Source organism: Homo sapiens, chromosome 1 (genome assembly GCF_000001405.40).
Source record: "Homo sapiens chromosome 1, GRCh38.p14 Primary Assembly".
NCBI classification, from domain to species: Eukaryota; Metazoa; Chordata; class Mammalia; order Primates; family Hominidae; genus Homo; species Homo sapiens.
This window is the reverse complement of record NC_000001.11, coordinates 197,565,635-197,592,957: the sequence shown is the minus strand read 5'-3', so window position 1 is coordinate 197,592,957 and position 27,323 is coordinate 197,565,635. Positions and strand designations below refer to the sequence as shown.

The following is a 27,323-nucleotide window of genomic DNA, read 5'->3' as shown; positions in this document are numbered from 1 at the left end:
TAAGGAGTATCCTGCTACTATAGTACAATTGGAAAGGAAAATATTACTCAGTAGGTGTTAATAATGTGAATTATTTTACTAGACATTACTTTTTAAAATTTTATGATTGTTTATACACATAAAAATAAACCATTATTTCCCTTAGTTTTAACAAAACTAAACCTGTAGGTTAGACCAATGACAGATCAGTCTCAGGTGCCATCTCTTCACCTGGCATTCAAGGCCCTTACCATGGGCAGGCAGTCTGTTATCCTTTTTTCCTAAACTTTGACCTCAGTTCAGAGAATTCTGCCTGTGGCTTCGAATGTCCCAAGCTTCTCAGGCTTCCACACATTTACTTATAGTGTTCTTTCTTCCTGGCAACGCTTTTAATCCTCACTTTTAATAGCCGTCTAGTTCCTTCATGATCCTGGAAGCTGTAGTTTGTGTTTGTACTGACCCCTTCTTTCTATGAATTAATTATACTTATTTTAACACATTTCTTCAGCCTTATTCATATATGATTTGTTAATTACATTGTTATTTTGACTGATATTCATAATTTTTGATCACTATTAAAACGTTAACTGACCATTGAGCACCCATTGGATGCCAGGCATTGATAGGCCCTTTAGATAAGTGTTCTTACTGAATTTTTACAAGCCTTCAAAATATTACTCTTTATATTTTAAAGATGAGGAAAATGATACTCATAGAATTTAAGTAACCTCACTGTTTCTCTAGCTAGTGAAGAGTGGGGCTTAGGTTTGAATCTGTTTTTTTCACGGTCCCTCTCTTGCTCTAGTGTGGCATATTTCTGTTCTACTTTGCCTCTGTTATCATATGATGCTTTTTTTTTTTTTTTTTTTTGAGATGGAATCTCACTCTGTCTCCCAGCCTGGAGTGCAGTGGTGTGATCTCAGCTCGCTGCAAGCTCCACCTCCCGGGTTCATGCCATTCTCCTGCCTCAGCGTCCCGAGTAGCAGGGACTACAGGTGCCCGCCACCATGCCCGCCTAATTTTTGTATTTTTAGTAGAGACGGGGTTTTGCCGCGTTAGCCAGGATGGTCTTGATCTCCTGACCTCGTGATACACCTGCCTCGGCCTCCCAGAGTGCTGGGATTACAGGCGTGAGCTACCGCGCCCGGCCGTGATACACTTCTTAAGATATGTTTCCTGAACGTGCATTACTTCTAAATGAAGATACATGAAAGGCATTCAGTATTCACTAATGGAAAGACCAAACTGAATACAAAATCTTAGGAATTTTCTTAATGGAAACAGGTGGTATAGGCATCTCATAATGGGTATATAAATTGGAGAAATTATTTGATATTTATGCTGTCTCTTTCCATTTATGGTTTTGTTTACCTGGAGTAACTACTACTACTCAAACTGCTTCATCCTCTTCCCTTTAGTCTTCTAATTCTTCTCTTCCCTTCTTTGTCTTAATGCTCTACACAGCAGGACTGAATATATTGTACTGAAAGGGAGTTTTGATTTGTCTATTTTTCTCTTTCTGCAGAAAAGCATCTAAAGTAAAAGTCAATGGCAAGCTGCTTCATTGTATAAGAATATACTTCTTCTGTTTATTAGGATGCATTATAGATATAATTTATGTTTATCAGATATATGTTGAATGCAGCTATAATAGGACCTCTCTGAAGCTTCTGGACCAAAAAATAATGTTCAGCATGTGCCCTGCCCCCATCCCCACAGGAGCTTATAGTGATAAAGGGTGATATAGTCATTTCTTCTCTAGCAGTAATAAACAAAACGAATCCGAAAATTATAAAAGAAAATTATACTTCTAAATGTATGGGAAACAAGAAACCTGGGAGATAACTATTGAAAATGTGCATTTTTCATGTCTTTCACCATGTTCTCAAAAAAGAATAAAACCAAAAAGGGTTAGGATTCGCTCCTATAGAGGCAGCAGAACCAGTCATAAATGACCTTCAATCAGGAGAGTTTCAGCTTTATCTTACAATTAATGCACAGTGTTTACAATTATTTATCATGGGAATGCAGTGCTTAGTGTTGTATATTAGACAGTTCACTTTTATGATGTTCATGTTAGATCAAAGTTGAGCAAGACCAGAGGCGGGGAGACAGGTGTGGCTATTATGGTCTTATTGAAGAAGAGGAAGAAAGGACCTTTGTGAATATCCTGAAGGCTCAAATCTCAAAGACCTTAGGAAGGAAGACAGGAGTACTGGGGAACCAGTGGATGTGGATTATGAGAAAAATACCCACTAGGATGATTTGCATATCCCTATACAGATACTAAATACATAAGCTAAATTCTGCTAAAGAGTAACTTATTTTATAAATTAAGTACTTAAAACGTCTAAGCTGGCAACCCTAAATTGTTGTTACTTACAGTGTGTAATCCACACTCTCTAAATGTTACCTTGGCATGATTGGCAAATAAATTGTACCTACCCTTAATTACAGAGAAAAATATAAAACTCCTTAAAGTTGTTGGAAATTTAAATAAAGTAATGAATATTTTACTCTTTTTTTTGGATTTTAGCCAACAGTAAGTTAGCTACTTTTTAAGAATTGAAAAATGTGAGATAAAATTAATGTACTAAATGAATGGAAGAAAAGCGGTAAGAGCACAAGACTCTGTAACCATACTGCCTGGATTCATCCTCATTCGGTGACCAACTAGTTGTATGACTTGGGGCAAATTAACCTATTAGTGCTTTGGTGTTCGCATTTGTTAAAAAAAAGTAATGATGCTTCTTGGATTGCCATGTAGTAAATGCTGTTTACGTCGTCATTATTAAAAATAAAATATTAAAATCAGTAGATTTAGTAAGGAAAATCCCTTTAGCATAACCACAAACAAAGCATCTTTCCAGAAAGGAAAACACTGCCTTAAACATGACAATACTTTTAAATGATTGTATTAAATAACTAAGAAATGGTCTTTAGTTATACCTCTTTGTATCACTTGTGTCAGAAGCTATAAAAAAATAAGTCAAATTTTTAAATAACAGCTAATGCTGAAGAAATGTTTGTTTGAGTTAAAATATTGTTTAGTATATTCAAAGACATACTTGATTATCCTGCCTGAGAGCACAGAAGTAACACTCAAGTTTATTCCCTTTAATGCTTAAGGTGCTGTCATGTGTTTCCATCACTCAAGCTTTCCTGGGCTGCCTTGAACCTTGCTAATGGATAAAAAATAAGTTACTTTAAGAATAAAGATTGGTTAGTAATCCGGTCCTCCGTTTGACAAGGTGGAGGAGTTATCTTTCAAACATTTTTTGATTATTTTCTTTAAAACATTATCAGTAAGTAATGTTGTTGTATTTAGTGATTAAGCTCAAGCAATTTAAACACAGGGTTGGCATCCATAATTTAAAAGGCCATTCACTAAATCTTTGTCTTAACATTTACATTTAAGAAACTTGTAATTGTCAACTTATTAGAGTTTTAAAAATCCAAGTTGAAAAGTACTACTCACAGTTTTATGGTTACTAAAACATTTTACACATCCTTTCATGTCATTTCTCTTGCTTGAGCACAGATAGACCTGTTGACTTGAGAGATGGTTACCACCAAAGAAATATTTGGTGTGCATCTGGCTTTTTAATGGATAAAAGTTGTTTTATGGCACTTTCTTTCTGCTCATTTCTAATTAGTAGGGAGAGAATTTTGCTTAATTGCTTCAGTAATAATATACAGTTTCTCCTCAAGTACTTTGGAATAGTTAGAACTAGGGACTTGGGTAGTAAGTGTTCCATTTATATATCACTGATATGTTTTATGAGAATGGAGAGTGTTTTTCTTATTGCCTTAAGTTGTGGGGAAGAAAAATGTAATTTTTAATAGTATGAACAAAGTTAATGCACAATCTATTAATTTTTTCTAAGTATTTAAATTCACACAAAAAGCTAGAAACAGCAATGTCTAATTTAGAAAAATTAGTTCCTTTTTCTGTCTTAAGTTGCTGAATCATAGGTAAATAGAACATTAGTAGGTAGCTGTAGTTTTTCTTTTTTCAAGACAGATCCAGCAACTTGAGGATAAAGTAATAAAATAATATGTACAAATAGAATATTTTGATGCTGATGATTAAACTTTATAGTTTGACTGTGAGGTTCTTTTTCATTGACTTCTAGCTAAAGTGCCAACAATGGAAGAAAATTACTGTTTCCATGGTTAATATACTCTGAAAGTAGAGTTGCTGTATCTTACATAATAATAGCATTGGGACATGTAGAAGAAAAATGCTGTATAACCTGAAAATCATTTATTATTATTTCCTGTGAGAATCTGCAAATATTTGAACATTCCCATGAGATATCTGACAGCAGAGTCTTTCAGATATTTTAAATTTAAAATAGCCATCAATATGCAGACATTTTTGCTTAGTTTGTTTATACTCCTTTTGTAATGGTGACATTACATTGAGTCCAGGTGCATTAAGGAACTGAATAAGTATAATGTTGATGTTTTGGATTATATTTCACATTTTTTACGTTATCATTCTTTCTGATGCCCTAATTTTCTTTCACAGTGAACTCTTGCTAAGTCATACACGTCCTGATAGTATAAGATCTAATCTATGTTTTAAGTATTTTCTTGTTCTTACAAAGTTTTCTACTCCCGGTACAATATATAGAACTTGAAAGATACTTATTCTTAAAACAAACAAACACAAACATTATGTCAATAATGATTATCACTCTGAAGTTGAGCAGCATACTAGGGTAGAAAAACAGCTGTATTTCATCCATAACTTACTTGTGGCTTAATTATTCTATATAAATAATTCATATAGTAACTAGCAGATATTTATTTAACACTCAAAATGCAGGGTACTGGGTTGGGTGCTGCAGGGCAGGGATCCCCAGCTCCCGTTAGGAACCAGGCCAGATGGCAGGAGGTGAGTGGCAGGCAAGGGAATGAAGCTTCATCTGTATTTACAGCCGCTCCCCATGGCTCACATTACTGCTTGAGCTCCACCTCCTGTCTCATAGGAGCAAAACCCCTATTATGAACTGCATATGTGAGGGATCTAGGTTGCATGCTCCTTATGAGAATCTAATGCCTGATGATCTGTCACTGTCTCCCATTACCCCCAGATAAGACCATCTAGTTGCAAGAAAACAAGCTCAGGGCTCCCACTGATTGATTCTACATTATAGTGAGTTGTAGAATTATTTCGTTATGTATTACAATGTAATAATAATATAAATAAAGTACACAATAAACGTAACGCGCTTGAATTATCCCACAACTATTCCCCACTCCTCTGGTCCGTGGAAAAATTGTCTTCCACAAAACCCGCGTCTGGTGCCAAGAAGTTTGGGGACCACTGCCATAGGGAATGCAAAGATGATCAAGAATTTAGTCCCCGACCTCCAGAGTTCACAGATAAGATATATGAAAATAACCTTGAATGTATGGCAGAAAATAAGTCCCTAAGAAAATCTGTTTCTCTTCTCTGTAATATAAACTTTATTCCGATTCTACTGCAGATTATGTTTTCCTGATAGCTGTTTATGTTCCTTTGTTGGGCTTTCCATCGAAATGACTGCTTTTGATTCCTTTCTTTTTGCCCCATCACTGTTTTATGGAGCAAAATATTCAGTTGTTTTTCTCTCATGTCAGAATTATCTCATGAAGAGATTTTCTTTTCCATTGTTTTATGTTTCTACGTGGTTACTTTGTGTCTCTACAGAATCATATGTTTACTTACTTTTCTGTGAATGAATAATACAACATTTAAAAAAATAGATTATAGATGGGTATTTCTCAATTGCATAAGTCGTTTTCTGTAAGTAGATTGATCAACTCAACTTTAATATTCAAGTCTGTACAGATAATTCTTAAGTATGTATTAAATAACAAATTTTCCTAACACGAGTTTCTAGCTTTGTGCTACATATCTTCATGTATTTCACAGACATCTGTAGTAGATACTGTTGGTGCCCTGCCCAGATCCCCTGTACTTGTTGTTGCCGTTTTGTGAAAAATTGCACTTAGCTAAATGGGAGTGCCTCACCAGGAAAACTGTGTTCAACCCTCATCTTTGCACCTCTCACCATTGAAAAAGACCACTTCTTATATGGGATATAAGAAGCTGGCCTCTCTGCCTCAAAGTGGGATTAACTCTGTGATACAGTCAGTGCTTTCCCATGGGATTCGGCTGAAGCTTGTCTCCAGTTGAGACCATGTTCTTGCTTGACTTTTTCCTCTGCCCCGTCTTGTTTTCTTTAATACCTTTTTCCTGAGAGTGATCTGCGAAAATCAATTGAACCAAGAACCCCTGTCTCAGGCTCCAGTAGGAATACTACAGAAAACATATGCCAAAATTGATTTTATCAACTTCTCCTTAAATGTGGTTTTCTTTCTATATTTTCAGTCTCTAATAAATAATGTCATTTTATGACCCTTAATCTAGAAATCTGGAAGTCACCTTTGACCCCTACTTGTTACTGTCGATATCAGTGGTTCTCAAACATTTTGGTCTCTGGATGTCTTTATACTCTTAAAAATTATCAAAGAACCTTAATTTATGTGAGGTATATGTATAAATACTTACCATATTAGAAATTAAAACTGAAAAAATATACATTTATTTAAAAAGCAATATAAACTAATTAAATATGAATATAAAACATTTTTGTGAAAAATTGCTATATTCCTAAAAAAATTTAGTCTGAACAATATCATTGTTTTACATTTTTTTCAGATCTCTTTAATATCTGGCTTAATAGAAGTCAGCTGGATTCTGATATTTGATTCCGTATTCAGTCTATTGCAATATTGCCAACCATGTAGCTTTTGGGAAACACTGTTGGATCTCAGGAGAAAATGAGAGTGAAGAGTGACAATAATGACTTACATTATTATGAAAATACTTTTGTTGTTACAGATCCTGTGGAAAAGTCTGACCTTGGATCACACTTTGAAAAACATCACTGCATATCAGTTGACAAACTAGTCCTATTGATTTTGCCACGAAATGTTTAACAATGTAGTTAACCACATGAACTTCAAATACTCATAACCTGGGTTAAAATCATAGGCAGAATTCTTCTCATGTCATTCAATTCAACTTTGATTTTAAAGAACTCATACTCAAGAGTCATTTATTAATATCTCTTTCATAACATATGCCTTAAGGATGACAGTAATTGAGGCTTCCAGTGATGGCAGTAATTGAGGTTCTTGTATATTAATATATACAACTTTAAAGCATTATTAATAAAGACTTATTTTTCTCCTTGAGAGAAAATTCTGATGTGTCAGTGCTTTGCCTTTTGTTATTATCAGAGATTCTTAGTAAATAAACCGTGTTAATCAAATTGAAGGTTTAGTTCAAAGTTTTTCCATGATTTGTGTCATCACAAGTGGATGGACAGCAAATCTGAGCTTTTTCTTTACCTGTTCTCTGGAGAGATTGAAAGTACTCAAAGGTTAATGAGGACAGAATTCTTCTAGCTTAATTCACATAGGCTAATGATTAAACTATGCCCAACTCTTAAGAAAGCATAGACTTTAGTCTCTCATCCATTTCTTCTTGTCTTGAAATACATCTTTACATGTTTAAGGAAAAATCTATCCCATAAAAACTAAAGTTACTATTAGTCCTGATTACTTTGTAATAGCAGTGATGCCAGAACTGCCATTAGAGGCAATTACTTATATTTATTTTTAAAATTGTATTTATTTTTGTGAAGATGATATGTCATATAGAATAAGGCTTAGCTCATTTGCTATTTTTATTTTATTTTTAAAATTCAGTCATAAAACATTTATCGGGCTCCCAGTGTAACTAGGGATGATGCTAGTACTAGAGATTAGAAAACAATAGACCTTTATTTTTAACAGGCTTGCCTTCCTCCGATAGATTATAAATTCTGTGATAGTGGAAAATATAGTACATTTGTGATCATCCAAAATATATTTATGTAAATTAGTCCGGTTTAAAAAATATGTAATTTAAAGGTCATCTGTAGCTCTTTACCATTGGCAATAATAGGCTAGGTTGGTGACTTATGCCTAGAATTCCAGCTTTTTGGGTGGCCGAGGTGGGGAGATCACTTGAGCCCAGGAGTTTGAGACCAACCTGGGCAACATAGCGAAACCCTTTCTCTACAGAAAATACAAAATGTTAGCCGGGCATGGTGGCATGTGCCTGTAGTCCCAGCTACTTGGGAGGCTGAGGTGGGAGGATCACCTGAGCCCAGGAGGTCAAGGCTGCAGTGAGCTATGAATGAACCACTATAATCCTACCTGCATGGCAGAATGACACCCTCCCCAACCCCTCCCCTCTGAAAAAAATTGGCAATCATCTGTATAAAAATGTGTAATGACATTTTTATTATGAATCATTGGCTGGTAGCTGATGGTAGGTGACACCACTTAAGAGTTTATCGAATTGTCTTCTTTAATAATTTGTTTGAATTTTGTTTTCTTTTTTCTATAGCAGTGCTATCCAGGAAAACTTTTTATGCTGAAGGAAATGTTCTATATCTGTGCTGTTCAATATGGTAGCCACTAACCACATGTGACCATTGAGCGGTTCAAATGTGGCTAGTATGACTGAGGAACTGAAATTTTAATTAATCTTCATAAATTTACATTTACATAGCTACATGTGATTAGTGTCTACTGAATGTGACAGTACAGTTCTATAGTGTATTAACTTTATCAGAAAGTGGTAATAGTTTAATTAGTTACTCTCATTATTTTATTTATACAGGAACCTATTTTCAGAATTGTACTTAAAGATATCTGTAATAATATTGAGTCTTCCTTAAGATTAAATTATAATTGTAATTAAATTATTCTTATTTTTTTTCAAAGTTCTATTACAAAGTAAACAGGCACACTTTTTCTTTTTCCTATGACATAAATATTGCTACAAGGTGCATTGTAATGAAGGAATCATTTTTATTCATCTGTGTTTTCATTTTTGTCATAAAGTTTAGTCACTTATCTTTGTTTGTGTTGAATGGGCTAAAGGGCTGTTCAGGCTGATGAGGGAAATAGCAGGTGGTAGGAATTAGCCAGTGGGTGATGATTTTCTGCATTCATGCAAAGGAATAAATAGAAAAAAAATGGAATCAGTAGGACTTGAGATTTAAGTCCTTGCTGGTTTGGAGGAGCATTTGGTAGAGCTACCACAAGACGCTTGCAAAAATATGATTACTTAACGCAAAGGATTAATGAAAGCAGATCCCAAGTAGGACTTATCCTGGAAAGTATCCAGCCTGAATTGTTTTGCAATCATGAAGAGAAGGTGATTGTAAAATCTTTTCATTAATTAAAAAACAAATTAATGATCATAACAACTAAGTGCGAATGTCAAATATCATGCAGCAGTTTTTATAGTAACAGTGTTTTCCAATCAGGATGCAATAAAATTATGTGATATTTTCAGGTATGTGTGCTATGTTTAATACTCATAATTCAATCTGATGATGTCAAATCTTTATTTTTAGGGGATTTACTTTTACTTGAGGGAGTAAAATTGAGCAATTTTAAGAGTACATGGGATCCTGGATTAGAAAGGTGTAGTACAGGCTTATTAGTAGAGGAATATTTCTACTAGCCTAAACTATTCTGTGTAAGGAAGGGTCTGTTGCTTCTGCACCTTACGCTTCCTCTATCACTCTTCACATACCTATTTAAAGAGACTAGTTCTCTCTGACTAACCTTTTATTGATGCCCTTAAAATCTTTATTTCTATCTAGGGTGAGCCCATCACTTTCTGTGAGGAGAGTTTTGTAAAGCACCGCTCAAGCGTGATGAAACAGTTCCTGGAAACTGCCATTAACCTCCAGCTTTTTAAGCAGGTAAGAGTGGACCTCCACATTTTTCTTTTGTAAGACAACATTGTCAGTTTTACACATTTGTATTACTATAAAACTATGTACAAACCCTGAGTAGCATCTTTTCTAGAATGTCAGGAAATTTTTGTTTATTTTGTAAGTCGTAGCTAGTTATGACATAGCACTCTAGAAATATTATATAATAACTTTGCTATTAAAAATTTCTCATCAAATGTGGCTGAGCTTAAAGTCTCATTGAGGAAGAATATACATTCACAGAAGAAGCAGCAACATGACTAGTTTTACTTATACAAGGCATCTTAGAAGAAGTTATTTTGGTATGGTGGATTGATACGGTAAACTAACAAACTGTATTTTGATAGGATTATTCCATTGTAATATAGTTTATAAAATAGTTCATAAAATGAATATTTAACTTTTTAAGCTTTGTAAGACTTTTTAATACTCATACATTCAGAATTAATAATAAGACTCATAGTTATGCTGTTTGTCCTGATTTTTGGTTCAGAAAATATAATTGCTATTTCAAAAAAGCAGTAACTAGACATCAGATTTCAGAAATTTTGGATGCACTGCTTCTGTCATTCCATTGTGTAATCATAGCAAGTGTCTTAAATTGGGTTGTCTTAGTTTCTGTATACAAAATTTGAATTAAGTTCTTAACACTTGTTTTTCTTATTCCGCATGACAATGTTAAGTGTAAAGTTTACTATGTGAATTAAACATTTAATGAAGACCTACTGTGTGTCATAAACTGTGCTCAGGGCCAGGATACAAAAATGAATAAAAACTCAGTAATGCCCTTGAGAAGCTGACAGTCTAATAATTTTTTTGAACTGTTAGAAGGGAAGATACTATATCACTCAAAATAACCTTCAAATTAGGTCAGTAAAGAAGTCAGCATGGCAACAATTAATGCTACTACTTCTGAGGAAATTTTAAAAAATAATCTGAGATTACAAAATACTCTGGGGCATGGGGAGATACCTGTCTTCCAATAAGTGAAGTTTTACATTAAGGAAAGGGTTAAGGTTATCCTGTACACAAACTTAAGGAGCATGGATTTCAGGATCAGAGATGTCCTGTGAATTTCCAAAAAATAGAGTGGGCTGCTTTTGGAGCTTTTTGTCCCTAGAGGTCTCCAAGCATAGACTCAATTACTTCCCAGGGTTGAAAGGAAGATCAAGTGATAGTGCTTTATAAATGCTGAAGTATAGCACAGTACAGTCCTAAGCTAGTCATGCAGTGCATGCTTGTTGAGTAAAATATCAGTACCTTTTTGTATTTTTCTCTATCAAGAAGAGGCACTATCTTCCATTATCAAAACTGAGTTGTGAAGATTAAATTATATGGGGGTTAGGGATTGAATGGGTAGGTAGAATATCTAACTTATTTCCCTTTGATCATGAACTTCTGTAACTAGTTCCTTACCACTTAATAAAGTTAATAAAACAGTAATTTTTTTGCATAGTTACAGAAGAGTTTACTTTTTAGGAGTCATGTATAGTTGGGTTGCATTTTGACTGTATCGCAGAATATCTGTTTTACATGAGTACATATTTCTTTTTCTTTAAAATAGAAATATTACCACCTACCTCACAGGATTATTATAAGGTTTATGTGAATTAACACATGTACACTCTCAGCACAATGCATGGTGCCTTGTTGATGCTCAGCAAATCTTAATGTCTGCCTCATTCTTAGAGAAATTACATTAACAAAATACATATCTGTGTAGGACTTTTAAAAAATACAGTTTGTTCAAGGACGTTAAATGTAAAATATGAAAATGGTCAACCAAAGAACTAATTATGTGGACAATGTGGATAGTCTTACTTGCACAAATTGGCTGTCTTCTAGAACTTGATATGCTCATGATTCTTAAAAAAGTGATACGTGAAGATAGCCCTGAAAGGATTGAAAAGATTCTCGTTGACAGAGTTTCACAAACTTCTAAAAGAAGAGTCAATTGGTAAAAAACTAACACAGATGAATCCTCAAAGATACTACTCATATGGCTGAAAAAATATAAAAATATTTATTAGGTACAAAAGATTTATGACTATGACTTTGTGATCCATTATAGGTCTAGAATTATTCAGGTTATCTCTTAGAACAACTTATGCTTCAAATTTGAGAGGACTCTGACCCAGGAGAGCAGCATATAATTTTAAGGAAAGAGTTAAAGTGAAGTTTTATTTCTGATAATATGGCAGGGTAGGATCCATAAATAACCTACATACTACAATTTAAAACGTAATATTTAAAGAACTCCTTATGTTGAGACAGTACAGGAGACAAAGCCTAGTGCTCACTTTACAAGATGAGAAGTGTAATAGGAGACCCAGTTCCTGTAATTCTGAGAAGACTTAATGTACAGGTAAACTAGAAATAAAGGTGTTTACTTTCTCAGTCAGTTTCCTGGGGATCTGTAAGGAAACTCATACATCCAAAGCATTAGTGCTGGGTAGAGGGAAGGGAAAAATGCTGTTAAGAAATAACCACATGTCAGTCTGCACAGAAATTTGCAGCCTGAATTAATATTTTCTGATTTTGGCTGACAAAACTCAAACGAAATTTAAAGGACCCTAAATGTTAGTGCCCCCAGACCTCAGGAAGAGGCAAACATATATTCCCTCTTCAGGAAATCACCTTCAGCCAGGCATCAAATAATTCTTCCAGCTAAAATTCCAAAAGGAAATTTTGCTGTTAAAAATTATTAAAAGGGCCAGGCGCAGTGACTCACAGGAGAAAATTATTAGATCCTAGCAACAGGTACCTGTAATCCCAGCACTCTGGGAGACCGAGACGGGTGGATCATGAGGTCAGGAGATCGAGACCATCCTGGCTAATACGGTGAAACCCTGTCTCTACTAAAAAAAAAAAAAAAAAAAAATTAGCTGGGCGTGGTGGCAGGTGCATGTAATCCCAGCTACTTGGGAGGCTGAAGCAGGAAAATGGCATGTACCTGGGAGGAGGAGCTTGCAGTGACTGAGATTGCACCACTGCACTCCAGCCTGGGCGACAGAGTGAGACTCTTATCTCAAAAAAAAAAAAAAAAAAAAAAGAAAGAAAGAAAAGAAAGAAAAATTATTAAAAATACAATGAAAGAAATTATAAATGAGAGCTAGCAGAAACAACAGATGAAACTGACTTGCAAAGACTTTAAGTATTGGAATTATCAGAAATAGAATATGAAAATAGCCATGTTTAACATGTTGAAAGAAGAAACAAGCCTTAAAATGTTCAGAGAAGAAAAACTTCAAAGAGTGCAAAGCCAATTTCAAAAAGGTAGCAAATAAACTTCTGTTAAGGAAGCATGTAATAATTGAAATTAAATAAGTTGATGTGTGTAATTGCAGATCAAATCTAAGTGAAGAGAGGTTTGCTAAGCTGAAGATATATTTGAAAAAGAAGTTATACAAAATGTGGTATGGAAAGACAGAAATGGAAAATATAGGAAGTTGATAGACATAGAGGGTAGACTAAGAATGTCCTTAAATTCATATAGTCAGTTCTAATAGGTGAGGACAGAAAATGGAACAGAGACAGTAGTTGAAAGGATAGTGCCAGAACCAATGAAAATACACTTCATAAATTTACAAATTTATAAAGTCTTAACATCCAAACTGAATAAAGAAGAAAGAATCTATGCCCACACACAGTGTATATTCATACATCCAAAGCTATAAAACACTAAACAAAATGGAAATTTATTTAAATAGGAGAAAAAAGATTACCTTCAAAGGAGCAATATATTGACAGCTTACTTCACAGCAGCAACAATGGAATCTAGAAGATACTGGCATGATATCTTCAGTGTGTTGAGAAAAAATACATAGAATTCTATGCCAAACAAAACACCTTTTAATTATGAGTGACATGAGGACATTTCCCAACAAAAACTGAGTTTGCCCCCCTCGTGTTGGTTTCATTAATGTGTCCACTTGGCTAGGCTACCATCCCCAATTATTCCATCAAACAGTAATTTAGGTTTTGCTATGAAAGGATTTTAAAGATAAAATTAAAACTCCTAATCATTTGACTATAAATAAAGAAGATTATTCTAGATAATCTAATTGGTGGACCTATCTGAATCACTTGGAAAGCTATTCTAGATAATCTAATTGGTGGACCTATCTGAATCACTCGGAAAGCCTTTAAAAGAGGTCTAACCAGCCTGGGCAGCATAGTGAAACCCTGTTTCTACAAAAAATACAAAAATTAGCTGGATGTGTGGTGCACACCTGTAGTTCTAGCTACTATGTGAGGCTAACTAGGGAGGTCCCTTAAAGGGAGGGACTTTTTTTTTTTGTATTATACTTTAAGTTTTAGGGTACATGTGCACAACGTGCAGGTTTGTTACATAGGTATAAGGAAAGACAGTGTTCTCCTAGTTTACTTATCATTTTAAAAATATTTCAATTGTATAATTTTTGTTGTATTTTATTTTTTAAAAATTTTAATTGACAATAGTGTGTGTTTATGGGGTACAATGTGATGTTTTGATACACACATACACATTGTAGAATGATTATATCAAGCTAATTAACATATCTATCACCTCACATTTTTTAGAATGCTGAGAACATTTATAATCTACTTTTTTAGGCCGGGCACAGTGGCTCATGCTGGTGATCCCAGCACTTTGTGAGGCTGATGGGGGTGGATCACCTGAGGTCAGGAGTTTGAGACCAACCTGGCCAACATGGTGAAACCCCGTCTCTAATAAAAATACAAAAATTAGCCAGGCAAGGTGTCACACGCCTGTAATCCCAGCTACACTGGAGGCTGAAGCAGGAGAATAGCTTGAACCTGGGAGACAGAGGTTGCAGTGAGCTGAGATTGTGCCAGTGCACTCCAGCCTGGGCAACAGAGCAAGACTCCATCTCAAAGAAACAACAACAACAACAACAACAAAAACAAAAACCCTACTCTTTTAGCAATTTTGAAATGTACAATACATTAGTATTAACTGTGGTCACTGTACCATGCAGTAGATCTCAAAAACCTATTTCTCTTGTCTAACTGAAACTTTGTATCCTTTGATCAAAATCTTCCCCTCCCCTGGACACTCCTTCTTTCAGTCAACAAAGCAGAAGCTACCAACTATCCTTGCTTTATTATTATTATTTAAACTGTTAATATTTAATTAAAGTATTGTGTTAAAACATATATATTTTTAATGTTTATACGTCATCCAGTAATAGGCTGTATTTTCATTGACAGTTGACTTCTTAACCTCTTTTGGTCTCAGTTTCTGCATTGTAACATGAGTTAGAGTAAAAGATCACTGAGTTTGAGATACCTCTCATCTCTAACATTCCATGATACTTTGAAATAAACATAGCTTAGATGGATGATAGTGGGTTCCATTTGTATGAATTTCTCTTCAGGTAATGGATTTGGAAGGAATCCCAGAAACAGTTCCTTAAATCCACAACTCTGACATTACCGTCTTTCTTTAGCTAGCAGCTTTACAAAGACTTAAGCCATTATTTTCAGGTCTCTTACTTTTATCTCATACTGATACAATGAAGGAAATTATTTTCTTCTGTACATTGCTTGTTATTAAGGCCCCTGGAACTGAAGTTTTTTCTGCTCATCTTACCATACATTCACCATGGCTAAGGACCACGGCAAAACCAAACCTTTCCCCCAAAACCTCTCCTACCATTCATATAGTAATATAAATGTGTATTTCTCAAACTTTTCTATCCAACAGAGTGCCCCCCATGGCAGAAGAGAATGCATTTTTTAAAGAGTATGGGGGGTGGCTGTATGAGCTCACTGATAAGCACATTTTAGGAAGCATTCTGCATTTTTCCAAAACATTTATACATTGTATATTCTATACCGCAATGTAGCTATGGCAAGTGGCTATAATAGTTTGAATGTCAACCCTTAGGTCAATCATCTCATCTTTTCTATTCCTTTAGAGCTCTGTTCATGTCTGAGTTATAGAATTTATCCCATGTTATTGTAATTTATCTTTTTTATATTGACTTCATCTCTCTAAAGTCTTCCCTGAGTGTCCCTCCCCCTCACTAAGTCTGTACTCCTTTTTTTCTGTGCCTATATTACTTTAAACACATTTTATTTATTCATGCAGTCTGATTGAATTTAGTGTGTCAATCCAAGAGCCTCATCTAGAACTATAAACTTACGGGCTCTCCATGAATATAGGCCTTTTTAACTGATAATCTAGATTACTGTTAGGAAACTTATTTAATAGTGAAGGAACTCACATATATTTAAATAGATATTCAAAATAATTCTGCTTGCCCAAATTCTAACTCTTATCAGGGAGGAAAATGATAAAGATTCAAATTGGAAAACTCTTTTTTAATGTTCCCCCAAAACCTTTTCTACCTTTCATTGAGTAATAAAAATGTGTATTTCTCAAACTTTTCTATCCAAAAAAGTGCCCCCCATGGCAGAAGAGAATACATATTTTTAAAGAGTATAAGGGGGTGGCTGTAGAAGCCCACTGACAGGCACAGTTTAGGAAGCATTCTGCATTTTTCCAAAACATTTATACATGTTGTACATTCTATATCACAACATAGCAGTGTTTATTTTAAAGTGAAAACATTTTAAATACTGGTTGTATTACCCTCTTCTTACCTTCATATTAAAATAAAACTAAAATTTCAGTTAAATATACCACATACATCCTTTGGCTTTGTGTTCTTGGTCACACCATTGAGTGTCACTAATGGCAGGTCTGTACCCCTGTGAAGAATATTGGCTTGGAATCCAGTAGATCCGGATTTGTATCCTGGTTCTGCCACTTTCATGGAGTATCACACTATATAAGGTGCTTGGTGCCTCTTTGGGCTCCAAATCCTTTCCAATTTCCTATTCTAATGTAATATGCAATCACATTGAATGTTCCTTCACACATACATTTCACAATGTCAGGTTTTGTCTATGCCATACTACACCATCAGTATTAATATGCTTCCTGTCATTCCGCCATAGCCTCTTCAAACGTCAACTCTTACATTGATCATTCTGTCTTTTCTATTCTTTAGATTTTTTTTTCTTTTTCTTTTTCTGTTTTCTTTTTAAATTATACTTTAGGTTCTAGGGTACATGTGCACAATGTGCAGGTTTGTTACATAGGTATACATGTGCCATGTTGGTTTGCTGCACCCATTAACTCATTATTTACATTAGGTATTTCTCCTAATGCTATCCCTCCCCCAGGCCCCTACCTGCCAACAGGCCCTGGTGTGTGATGTTCCCGCCCTGTGTCCAAGTGTTCTCATTGTTCAGTTCCTACCTATGAGTGAGAACATGCAATGTTTGGTTTTCTGTCCTTGTGATAGTTTGCTGAGAGTGATGGTTTCCAGCTTCATCCATGTCCCTGCAAAGGACATGAACTCATCCTTTTTTATGGCTGCATAGTATTCCATGACGTATATGTGCCACATTTTCTTAATCCAGTCTATCATTGATGGACATTTGGGTTGTTTCCAAGTCTTTGCTATTGTGAATGGTGCCGCAATAAACATACATGTGCATATGTCTTTATGGTAGCATAATTTATAATCCTTTGGGTAAATACCCAGTAATGGGATCGCTGGATCAAATGGTATTTCTAGTTCTAGATCCTTGAGGAATCCTCACACTTTTTTCCACAATGGTTGAACTAATTTATACTCCCACCAACAGTGTAAAAGCTTTTCTATTTCTCCACATTCTCTCCAGCATCTGTTGTTTCTTACCTTTTTAATGATCACCATTCTAAATGGCATGAGATGGTATCTCATTGTGGTTTTGATTTGCATTTCTCTGATGACCAGTGATGATGACCCTTTTTTCATATGTCTGTTGGCAGCATAAATGTCTTTTGAGAAGCGTCTGTTCCTATGCTTTTCCCACTTTTTAATGGTTTTTTTTTTTCTTGTAAATTTGTTTAAGTTCTTTGTAGATCCTGGGTATTATCCCTTTGTCAGATGGGTAGATGGCAAAAAATTTTTCCCATTCTGTAGGTTGCCTGTTCACTCTGATGGTAGTTTCTTTTGCCATGCGGAAGCTGTGTAGTTGAATTAGATCCCATTTGTCTATTTTGGCTTTTGTTGCCATTGCTTTTGGTGTTTTAGTCATGAAGTCCTTGCCCATGCCTATGTCCTGAATGGTATTGCCTAGGTTTTCTAGGGTTTTTATGGTTTTAGGTCTAGCATTTAAGTCTTTAATCCATCTTGAATTAATTTTTGTACAAGGTGTAAGGAAGGGATCCAGTTTCAGCTTTTTACATATGGCTAACCAGTTTTCCCAGCACCATTTATTAAATCGGGAATCCTTTCCCCATTTCTTGTTTTTGTCAGATTTGTCAAAGATCAGATGGTTGTAGTTGTGTGGTGTTATTTCTGAGGGCTCTGTTCTGTTCCATTGGCCTATATCTCTGTTTTGGTACCAGTACCATGCTGTTTTGGTTACTGTAGCCTTGTAGTATAGTTTGAAGTTAGGTAGCGTGATGCCTCCAGCTTTGTTCTTTTTGCTTAGGATTGTCTTGGCAATGCGCGCTCTTTTTTGGTTCCATATGAACTTTAAAGTAGTTTTTTCCAATTCTGTGAAGAAAGTCATTGGTAGCTTCATGGGGATGGCATTGAATCTATAAATTACCTTGGGCAGTATGGCCATTTTCAAAATATTGAGTCTTCCTATCCATGAATGTGGAATGTTCTTCCATTTGTTTGTGTCCTCTTTTATTTTGTTGAGCAGTGGTTTGTAGTTCTCCTTGAAGAGGTCCTTCACATCCCTTGTAAGTTGGATTCCTAGGTATTTTATTCTCTTTGTAGCAATTGCGAATGGGAGTTCACTCATGATTTGGCTCTCCGATTGTCTGTTATTGGTGTACAGGAATGCTTGTGATTTTTGCACACTGATTTTGTATCCTGAGACTTTGCTGAAGTTGCTTATCAGCTTAAGGAGATTTTGGGCTGAGATGATGGGGTTTTCTAAATAGACAATCATGTCATCTGCAAATAGGGACAATTTGACTTCCTCTTTTCCTAATTGAATACACTTTATTTCTTTCTCTTGCCTGATAGCCCTGGCCAGAACTACCAACACTATGTTGAATAGGAGAGAGGGCATCCTTGTCTTGTACTGGTTTTCAGAGGGAATGCTTCCAGTTTTTGCCCATTCAGTACGATATTGGCTGTGGGTTTGTCATAAATAGCTCTTATTATTTTGAGATATGTTCCATCAATACCTTATTGCGAGTTTTTAGCATGAAGGGATGTTGAATTTTGCCAGAGGCCTTTTCTGCATCTATTGAGATGATCATGTGGTTTCTCTCATTGGTTCTGTTTATGTGATGGATTACATTTATTGATTTGCGTATATTAAACCAGCCCTGCATCCCAGGGATGAAGCCGACTTGATAGTGGTGGATAAGCTTTTTGATGTGCTGCTGGATTCAGTTTGCCAGTATTTTATTGAGGATTTTCGCATCAATGTTTGTCAGAAATATTGGCCTAAAATTCTCTTTTTTTGTTGTGTCTTTGCCAGGCTTTGGTATCCAGACGATACTGGCCTCATAAAATGAGTTAGGGAGGATTCCCTCTTTTTCTATTGATTGTAATAGTTTCAGAAGGAATGGTGCCAGCTCTCTTTGTGCCTCTGGTAGAATTTGGCTGTGAATCCGTCTGGTCCTGGACTCTTTTTGGTTGGTAAGCTATTGATTATTGCCACAATTTCAGAGCCTGTTATTGGTCTATTCAGAGATTCAACTTCTTCCTGGTACATAACGAAATGAAGGCAGAAATAAAGATGTTCTTTGAAACCAACGAGAACAAAGACACAACATACCAGAATCTCTGGGACACATTCAAAGCAGTGTGTAGAGGGAAATTTATAGCACTAAATACCCACAAGAGAAAGCAGGAAAGATCCAAAATTGACACCCTAACATCACAATTAAAAGAACTAGAAAAGCAAGAGCAAACACATTCAAAAGCTAGCAGAAGGCAAGAAACAACTAAAATCAGGGCAGAACTGAAGGAAATAGAGACCAAAAAAACCCTTCAAAAAATTAATGAATCCAGGAGCTGGTTTTTTGAAAGGATCAACAAAATTGATAGACCGCTAGCAAGACTAATAAAGAAAAAAAGAGAGAAGAATCAAATAGACGCAATAAAAAATGATAAAGGGGATATCACCACCGATCCCACAGAAATTCAAACTACCGTCAGAGAATACTACCTTTGGTCTTTGATGTTGCTTGCCTACAGATGGGGTTTTGGTGTGGATGTCCTTTTTGTTGATGTTGATGCTGTTCCTTTCTGTTTGTTAGTTTTCCTTCTAACAGTCAGGTCCCTCAGCTGCAGGTCGGTTGGAGTTTGCTGGAGGTCTACTCCAGAGCCTGTTTGCCTGAGTATCAACAGTGGAGGCTGCAGAACAGTAAATATTGCTGCCTGATCTTCCTCTGGAAGCTTCGTCCCAGCGGGGTACCTGCCTGTATGAGGTGTCTGTTAGCCCCTACTGGGAGGTGTCTCCCAGTTAGGCTACAGGGAGTCAGGCACCTGCTTGAGGAGGCAGTCTGTCCATTCTCAGAGCTCAAATGTCATGCTGGGAGAACCACTGCTCCCTTCAGAGCTGTCAGGGATGTTTAAGTCTGCAGAAGTTTCTGCTGCCTGTTGTTCAGCTATTCCCTGCCCACAGAGGTGGAGTCTATAGAGGCAGTAGGCCTTGCTGAGCTGCAGTGGCCTCCGCCCAGTTCGAGCTTCCCGGCCCCTTTATTTACCTACTCAAGCCTCAGCAATGGCGGACGCCCCTCTCCTCACCAGGCTGCTGCCTCACAGGTCAATCTCAGACTGCTGCGGTAGCAGTGAGCAAGGCTCTGTGGGCGTGGGACCCACTGAGCCAGGCACAGAAGAGACTCTCCTGGTCTGCTGATTGCTAAGACCATGGGAAAAGCGCAGTATTTGGGCAGAAATGTCCCGTTTTTCCAGGTACAGTCTGTCACGATTTCCCTTGGCTAGGAAAGGGAAATCCCCCAACCCCTTGTGCTTCCCGGGTGCGGCGATGCCCCACCCTGCTTTGGCTTGCCCTCTGTGGGCTGTACCCACTGCCCAACCAGTCCCAATGAGATGAACCATGTACCTCAATCGGAAATGCAGAAATCACCTGTCTTCTGCATCGATCACACTGGGAGCTGCAGACCAGAGCTGTTCCTATTTGGCCATCTTGGAACTGATCCCTCCTTTAGATTTTTATTCATATCTCACTTGTAGCATTTATCCCATGTTATTGTAATTTCTCTTTTTAATATGTATTTTCACCTCTCTAAAGTCTTCCCTGAGTGTCCCTCCCTGTCACTAAGTCTGTACTCTTTTTTCTGTGTGTCTATTAGTTTGAACACATTTTATTTGTTTATTCACTCTAACAATTACATATGGATTATTTATTTTGTGTCAGGTGCTGCTACTCCAAGCACTTGAGATTCAGAGATGTGTAGCCTTCTGTTATGAAGCTGATATTTCTAGTGAAGGAAATGGGTTAACAAACAAACAGCAAATAAGAAAAATATCAGTGAGCAAAAAGTTCAGAGTATATGAGACATTGACTGGATGGCCAATTTAGATTGAGTGACTAGAAAAGGCACTACTGAAAAGGTGATATTTAAGCTACGTCTAAAGAAGGAATCAGTTTTGAGATATGAAAAGAAGAACATGGTTACAGGTAGAGAGAATTGTTACAAAGACCTAAAGGAGGGAAAGAACTTGGCATTTTCTAAGATCCGAATAAATGAAATGTGGGCATGGAAAAGAGTTGTACTAAATGAGGTTAGAATGGCATAAAAGGGACAGATCATACAAGGCTTTGAAGGCATAAGGAGTTTACCTTTTATTCTAAATGGAACAGTATGCTGTAGGGAAGTTTTAGCTGGCACATGATTGGATCTGATCTGTATTTTGTAAAGGTTGCCCAGATTACCATGTGAAAATATGTTAGAGGAGAGAGAGGTGGCAAAAGTCCAATTATGAGGCTTTTTCAGTTGTCCAGGAGAGAAGTGATGGTGGTAGTAAACAAGATGGAGTGAAGCAGGACAGAATTTGTTTGTTTGAGAGGTAGAATTGTCAACTCTTACTTATGGGTTAGAGTAGAGAGAAATAAGAAATCAGAGATAATGTTCATATATGTCTTTTTATATTGACATTTTAAATAACTGTCTTATTCATTTACATATCAATTTTCTCAATAGGTTATGAACCTTTCTAATACTGGGACCATTTATGATTGCATTCTATATATCCAGTTTCTTGCATAGGACCTTGTCAATGTTGGGTGCTAAATAAATTTCAGTCAAATCTCTCCTTAACATGTTTTTTATTATTACACATAAAAAGCGATTTTGAATACTCAAATATTTGCTTATTACAGTGATAACAACCATAAATAATAAGTAAAGACTCTAAGATTAGGGACATAGGGAGATTTCTGTTTCATTAAAGGTAACCTCTTTATGACCAAAAGAGAACACTAAGATAACATAGTACATTCACTAAAGTGTATAAATTATAATATTAGGGTAAAAATCCTCAAGATCATCCACCTCTAATAAAATCACCATTCCATTTTGTAAACATGCCCTCAGTTCTATCAAATGTTTATGTAATTTTATTGACATAAATTGAAAAATCTTAGTTTTGTTTCTTAAGATTATTCTTACCAGGTAATTGAATAAAAATTTATTTCGAAAGTCTCTGGTGGGCCTTGGATAACTATATTGTTATTGTGAGGAAACATCTGAGTACTTATTATTTGATAAAATAAATCCCATGTAGTTTTGGAGAGGGGAGATCATTCTCAGCTAATCTTCAGTACTTCTTTGGAGATAAATTCCTATGTCACATAAGGAAAATTCAGTAACCATGGTATAGCCTGGTTTAAATTTTTTTTTTTTTTTGGAGATATGGGATCTTGCTATGTTGCCTAGGCTATTCTTGATCTCCTGATCTCAGGTGATCCTCTCACCTCAGCCTCCTAGTGGTTTGGGGTTACAGGCATGAACCAGTGTGCCTGGCCATTATTTTTTTGACAAATAAAAATTGTATATATTTATGATATATAACATGATGTTCTGATATTGGAATTTGATTATAGAATGGCTAAATTAATTAACATCAATTTTGATTGTGGAATGACTAAATCAAGCTAAGTAACATATCAGTTAACTCATGTAATTAACATTTTTTGTGGCGAGAACGTTTAAAATCTACTCTCCTAGCAATCTTCAAGTATTTAATACATAGTTACTAACTATACATTATAGTTATTAACTGTACTCTCCATGTTGAACAATAGAATTCCTGAACTTGTTATTCCTCTTGTCTAATTAAAATTTTGTCTGCTTTACCCCAACCCCTGGTAACTACCATTCTGTTCTCTGCTTCTCTGAGTTTGACTTTTTTAGTGAAATCATGTACTATTTGTCTTTTGATGCCTGGCTTATTTTACTTAGCATAATGTCCTCCAGATTGAATCATGTTGTTGCAGTTGACAGGATTTTCTTCTTTATAAAGGGTTAATAGTGTTCCATTGTGTGTGTGTGTGTGTGTGTGTGTGTGTGTGTATACCACATTTTCTTTTTGTATTCATCCATTCATGGACAGTTAGGTTGATTCATATATTTGTTATTGTTGAGTAATGCTGTATTGAACATGTAATGCAGATAGATCTTCAGCATACTGATTTCATTTCCTTTGGATATATTCCTAGAAGCAGAATTGCTGGATCATATAATAGTTCTATTTTTGGTTTTTTGAGAAACTTCCATACTGTTTTCCATAATGGTTATACTAATTTACATTCCCACCAGTAAGGTACAAGGGTTAGCTTTTCTCCACATCCTGGCCAAAACTTACCTCTTGTCTTTTTGATAATAAAAATCCTAACAGGTATGACATGATGTCTCACTGTGGTTTTAATTTGCATTTCTCTGATGATTAGTGATGTTGAACATTTTTTCACTGTTGGCCATTTGTATGTCTTCTTATGATCAATGTTTTTTTTCCAAATATTTTGCCCATTTTTAATTGGGTTATTTATTTTCTTATTAATTTGTTTGAGTTCTTTATATATTTTGGATATCAATTCCTTATCAGATATAATTTACAAATATTTTCTCCCATTGCAGAGATTGTCTCTTCACTCTGTTATTTCCTTTGTGTAATCATATTTGTCTATTTTTGCTTTCGTTGCCTGTGCTTTTGAAGTCATGATCCAAAAAATCTTTGCTCAGACCAGTGTTGAGAAGCTTTTCCCCTGTGTTTTCTTCTTGTAGTTTTATGGTTTCAGGTCTTATGTTTATAAATCCATTTTGAATTGATTTTTATATATAATCTGAGATAAGTGCCCTATTTTATTCTTCTGCACATGGATGTCCTTCTCCATTTTGTGTTCTTAGCACCTTAGTTGAAGATCAGTTGATGGGAAATGTATGGATTTATTTTTGGGTTTTCTATTCTATTTCATATGTCTGTATATCTGTTTTTATGCTAGTACCATGCCATTTTGGTTATTATGGCTTCATAGTATATTTTGAGATCAGATAATGTGATGTCTCCAGCTTTGCTCCTTTTATTCAAGATTGTTTTGTCTATTTGAGGTCTTTTGTGGTTCCATATGAATTTTAGGATTGATTTTTATATTTCTGAGAAAAATATCATTGGAACCTTGGTAGGAATTACGTTGAACTGTAGATCCCTTTGGGTAGTATGGATAGTTTAGCAATGCTAATTCTTCCATCCATGAACACATGAACATGGAATATTTTTCTATATATTTTGTCATTTTCAGTTTCTTTTATTAGTGTTATAGCTTTCATTGTATAGGTCTTTCACTTCTTTGGTTAATTTTATTCCCAAGTATTTTTTTATGCTATTGTAAATTTAATTATTTTCTTGCTTTCTTTTTGGATAGTTATTAATGTATACAAATGCTACTTTTTAATACGTTGATTGTGTATCTTGCTACATTACTGATTTTGCTTATTAGTTCCAACAGTTTTTTTGCTCAAGTCTTTAGAGTTTTCCGCATGTAATATGCCATGAGCAAACAATTTCCCTCCCTCCCTCCTTCCCTCCCTCCCTGCCTGCCTTCCCTCCGTCCCTTCCTTCCTTCCTTCCTTCCCTCCCTCCCCTCATCTCCCCAGTTTGGATGCCTTTTATTTCTATTTCCTCATGAATTGCTCTAACTAGGATTTCTACTTCTGTGTTTAAAAGAAATGGTGAGAATGAGAACTCTTGTCTTGTTCCTTATCTTAGCTTTTTACCATTGACTATTATATTAGCTGTGAACTTGTTATATTTTTCCTTTTATTGTGGTGAGATAAATTATTTTATACATAATTTGTTAAGTGTTTTCATCATGAGTGTTGATTTTTGTCAAATGCCTTTGTGCATCTGTTGATGTGATCATAAGGTTTTTGCCGTTTATTCTGTTAATGTAGTATATCACATTTATTGATTTGTGAATGTTGAACCATCCTTGCATTCCAGGGATAATCCTTTTAAAACACTGTTGAATTTGGTTTGCTAGTATTTTGTTGAAGATTTTTGCATCTATGTTTAAGGGACATTGGATGTAATTCGCTTTCTTTTTGGAGTCTCCTTGTCTGGCTTTGGTGTGAGAGTAATGCTGGCCACATAAAATAACTTTGGAAATATTCTCTTCTTTTCAGTTTTTTTGAAGAGTTTGAGGATTGGTATTCTTTAAATGTTTGTTACAATTCAGCAGTGGAGTCATCAGGTCTGGGGTTTTCTTTGATGGAAGATTTTTGACTACTGATTCAGTCTCCTTGTTCATTATTTCATTATTTGTTAATAATTCAGTTTTGATAGGTTGTATCTAGGAATTTATTCATTTCTTCTGGGTTATTCAATTTGTTGGTGTATAATTGTTGATTATAGTAGACTCTTATGATTCTTTATATTTCTGTAGTATCAGTTGAACTGTGTCCTCTTCCATTTCCAATTTTACTTATTTGAGGCTTCTTTATTTTTTTCTTTAGTTAGACCAGCTAAAGGTTTGTCAGTTTAATTTTTCAGAATCTAATGTTCAGTTTCATTGATCGTTTCTATTGCCTTTCTAGTTTCTATTTCATTTAGTTCTGTTCTAATCTTTATTTACTGTCACTATTTCTGTCTTTATTTACTGTCATTAGTCTTTATGATTTACTGTCCCTCTAGGAATAAATGAATGAAGAAATGCACATATACTTGTTGTTCTTGTTTTCTCTGCTTTGAATATCCTCTCTCCATTTTACATTCCACAACTCAGTCTATTCTTTCTTTAAGACCAAGCTCAGATACACCTTTTCCAGGAATTTTTTTTTTTTACCTCTCATACTTCTATGAATTTCCCTTCTTTTAGCACCATATGATATTTGTTGGTTTGTTTGGCTCCTTCTTGTGTTGTAGACTCTGTAAAAACAAGGTTCATGCTTTAAGTGTTTTTGTATCCTAATAGCTAATACATAATAGGCATTTAAGTTTATTAAATAAATAAATGAAAAGTTGATGAGTGATTCCCTATTATAAGGAATATGCATGAAAATATTTTGACAGTTTTAGTAGATGAGGAGTTTATGAAAATTAATATAATGAAACTTATCTAAGAGCTGTATGAAAATTATAGGAGTTGTAGATATGCGGCATTATTTCTGAGGGCTCTGTTCTGTTCCATTGATCTATATCTCTGTTTTGGTACCAGAAAATTTTTGCAACCTATTCATCTGACAAAGGGCTAATATCCAGAATCTACAATGAACTCAAACAAATTTACAAGAAAAAAACAAACAACCCCATCAAAAAGTGGGCAAAGGACATGAACAGACACTTCTCAAAAGAAGACATTTATGCAGCCAAAAAACACATGAAAAATTGCTCACCATCACTGGCCATCAGAGAAATGCAAATAAAAACCACAATGAGATACCATCTCACACCAGTTAGAATGGCAATCATTAAAAAGTCAGGAAACAACAGGTGCTGGAGAGGATGTGGAGAAATAGGAATACTTTTACACTGTTGGTGGGACTGTAAACTAGTTCAACCCTTGTGGAAGTCAGTGTGGCGATTCCTCAGGGATCTAGAACTAGACATACCATTTGACCCAGCCATCCCATTACTGGGTATATACCCAAAGGACTATAAATCATGCTGCTATAAAGACACATGCACACATATGTTTATTGCGGCACTATTCACAATAGCAAAGACTTGGAACCAACCCAAATGTCCAACAATGATAGACTGGATTAAGAAAATGTGGCACATATACACCATGGAATACTATGCAGCCATAAAAAATGATGAGTTCATGTCCTTTGTAGGGACATGGATGAAATTGGAAACCATCATTCTCAGTAAACTATCGCAAGAACAAAAAACCAAACACTGCATATTCTCACTCATAGGTGGGAATTGAACAGTGAGAACACATGGACACAGGAAGGGGAACATCACACTCTGGGGACTGTTGTGGGGTGGGGGGAGGGAG

The 27,323-nt window shown here is 35.5% G+C and overlaps 1 protein-coding gene across 18 annotated transcripts in view, besides 1 other annotated feature; it reads left to right on the top strand.

The window, feature by feature from the left end:
- Positions 1-27,323, top strand: part of DENND1B (DENN domain containing 1B) — a 277,403-nt gene that overhangs the window by 189,193 nt on the left and 60,887 nt on the right. For 17 of the 18 annotated variants that reach the window (XM_011509248.3, XM_047447711.1, XM_005244931.3 and 14 more), the window contains one exon: positions 9,705-9,806. The exons of the other annotated variant lie outside the window; for it this stretch is intronic. In XM_011509248.3, coding sequence (XP_011507550.1) covers positions 9,705-9,806 — 102 coding nt within the window. The remainder of the gene's footprint in view (positions 1-9,704; positions 9,807-27,323) is intronic. 18 annotated transcript variants of the gene reach the window in all.
- Positions 19,494-20,693: an enhancer, noted in NCBI's record as "CDK7 strongly-dependent group 2 enhancer chr1:197541395-197542594 (GRCh37/hg19 assembly coordinates)". NCBI's record gives its function as "activates an origin of replication core promoter dependent on BRD2, BRD4, P300/CBP, MED14 and CDK7 cofactors, with strong dependence on CDK7, by STARR-seq in HCT116 cells {active_cell/tissue: HCT116}" and the evidence as "EXISTENCE:reporter gene assay evidence [ECO:0000049][PMID:35650434]".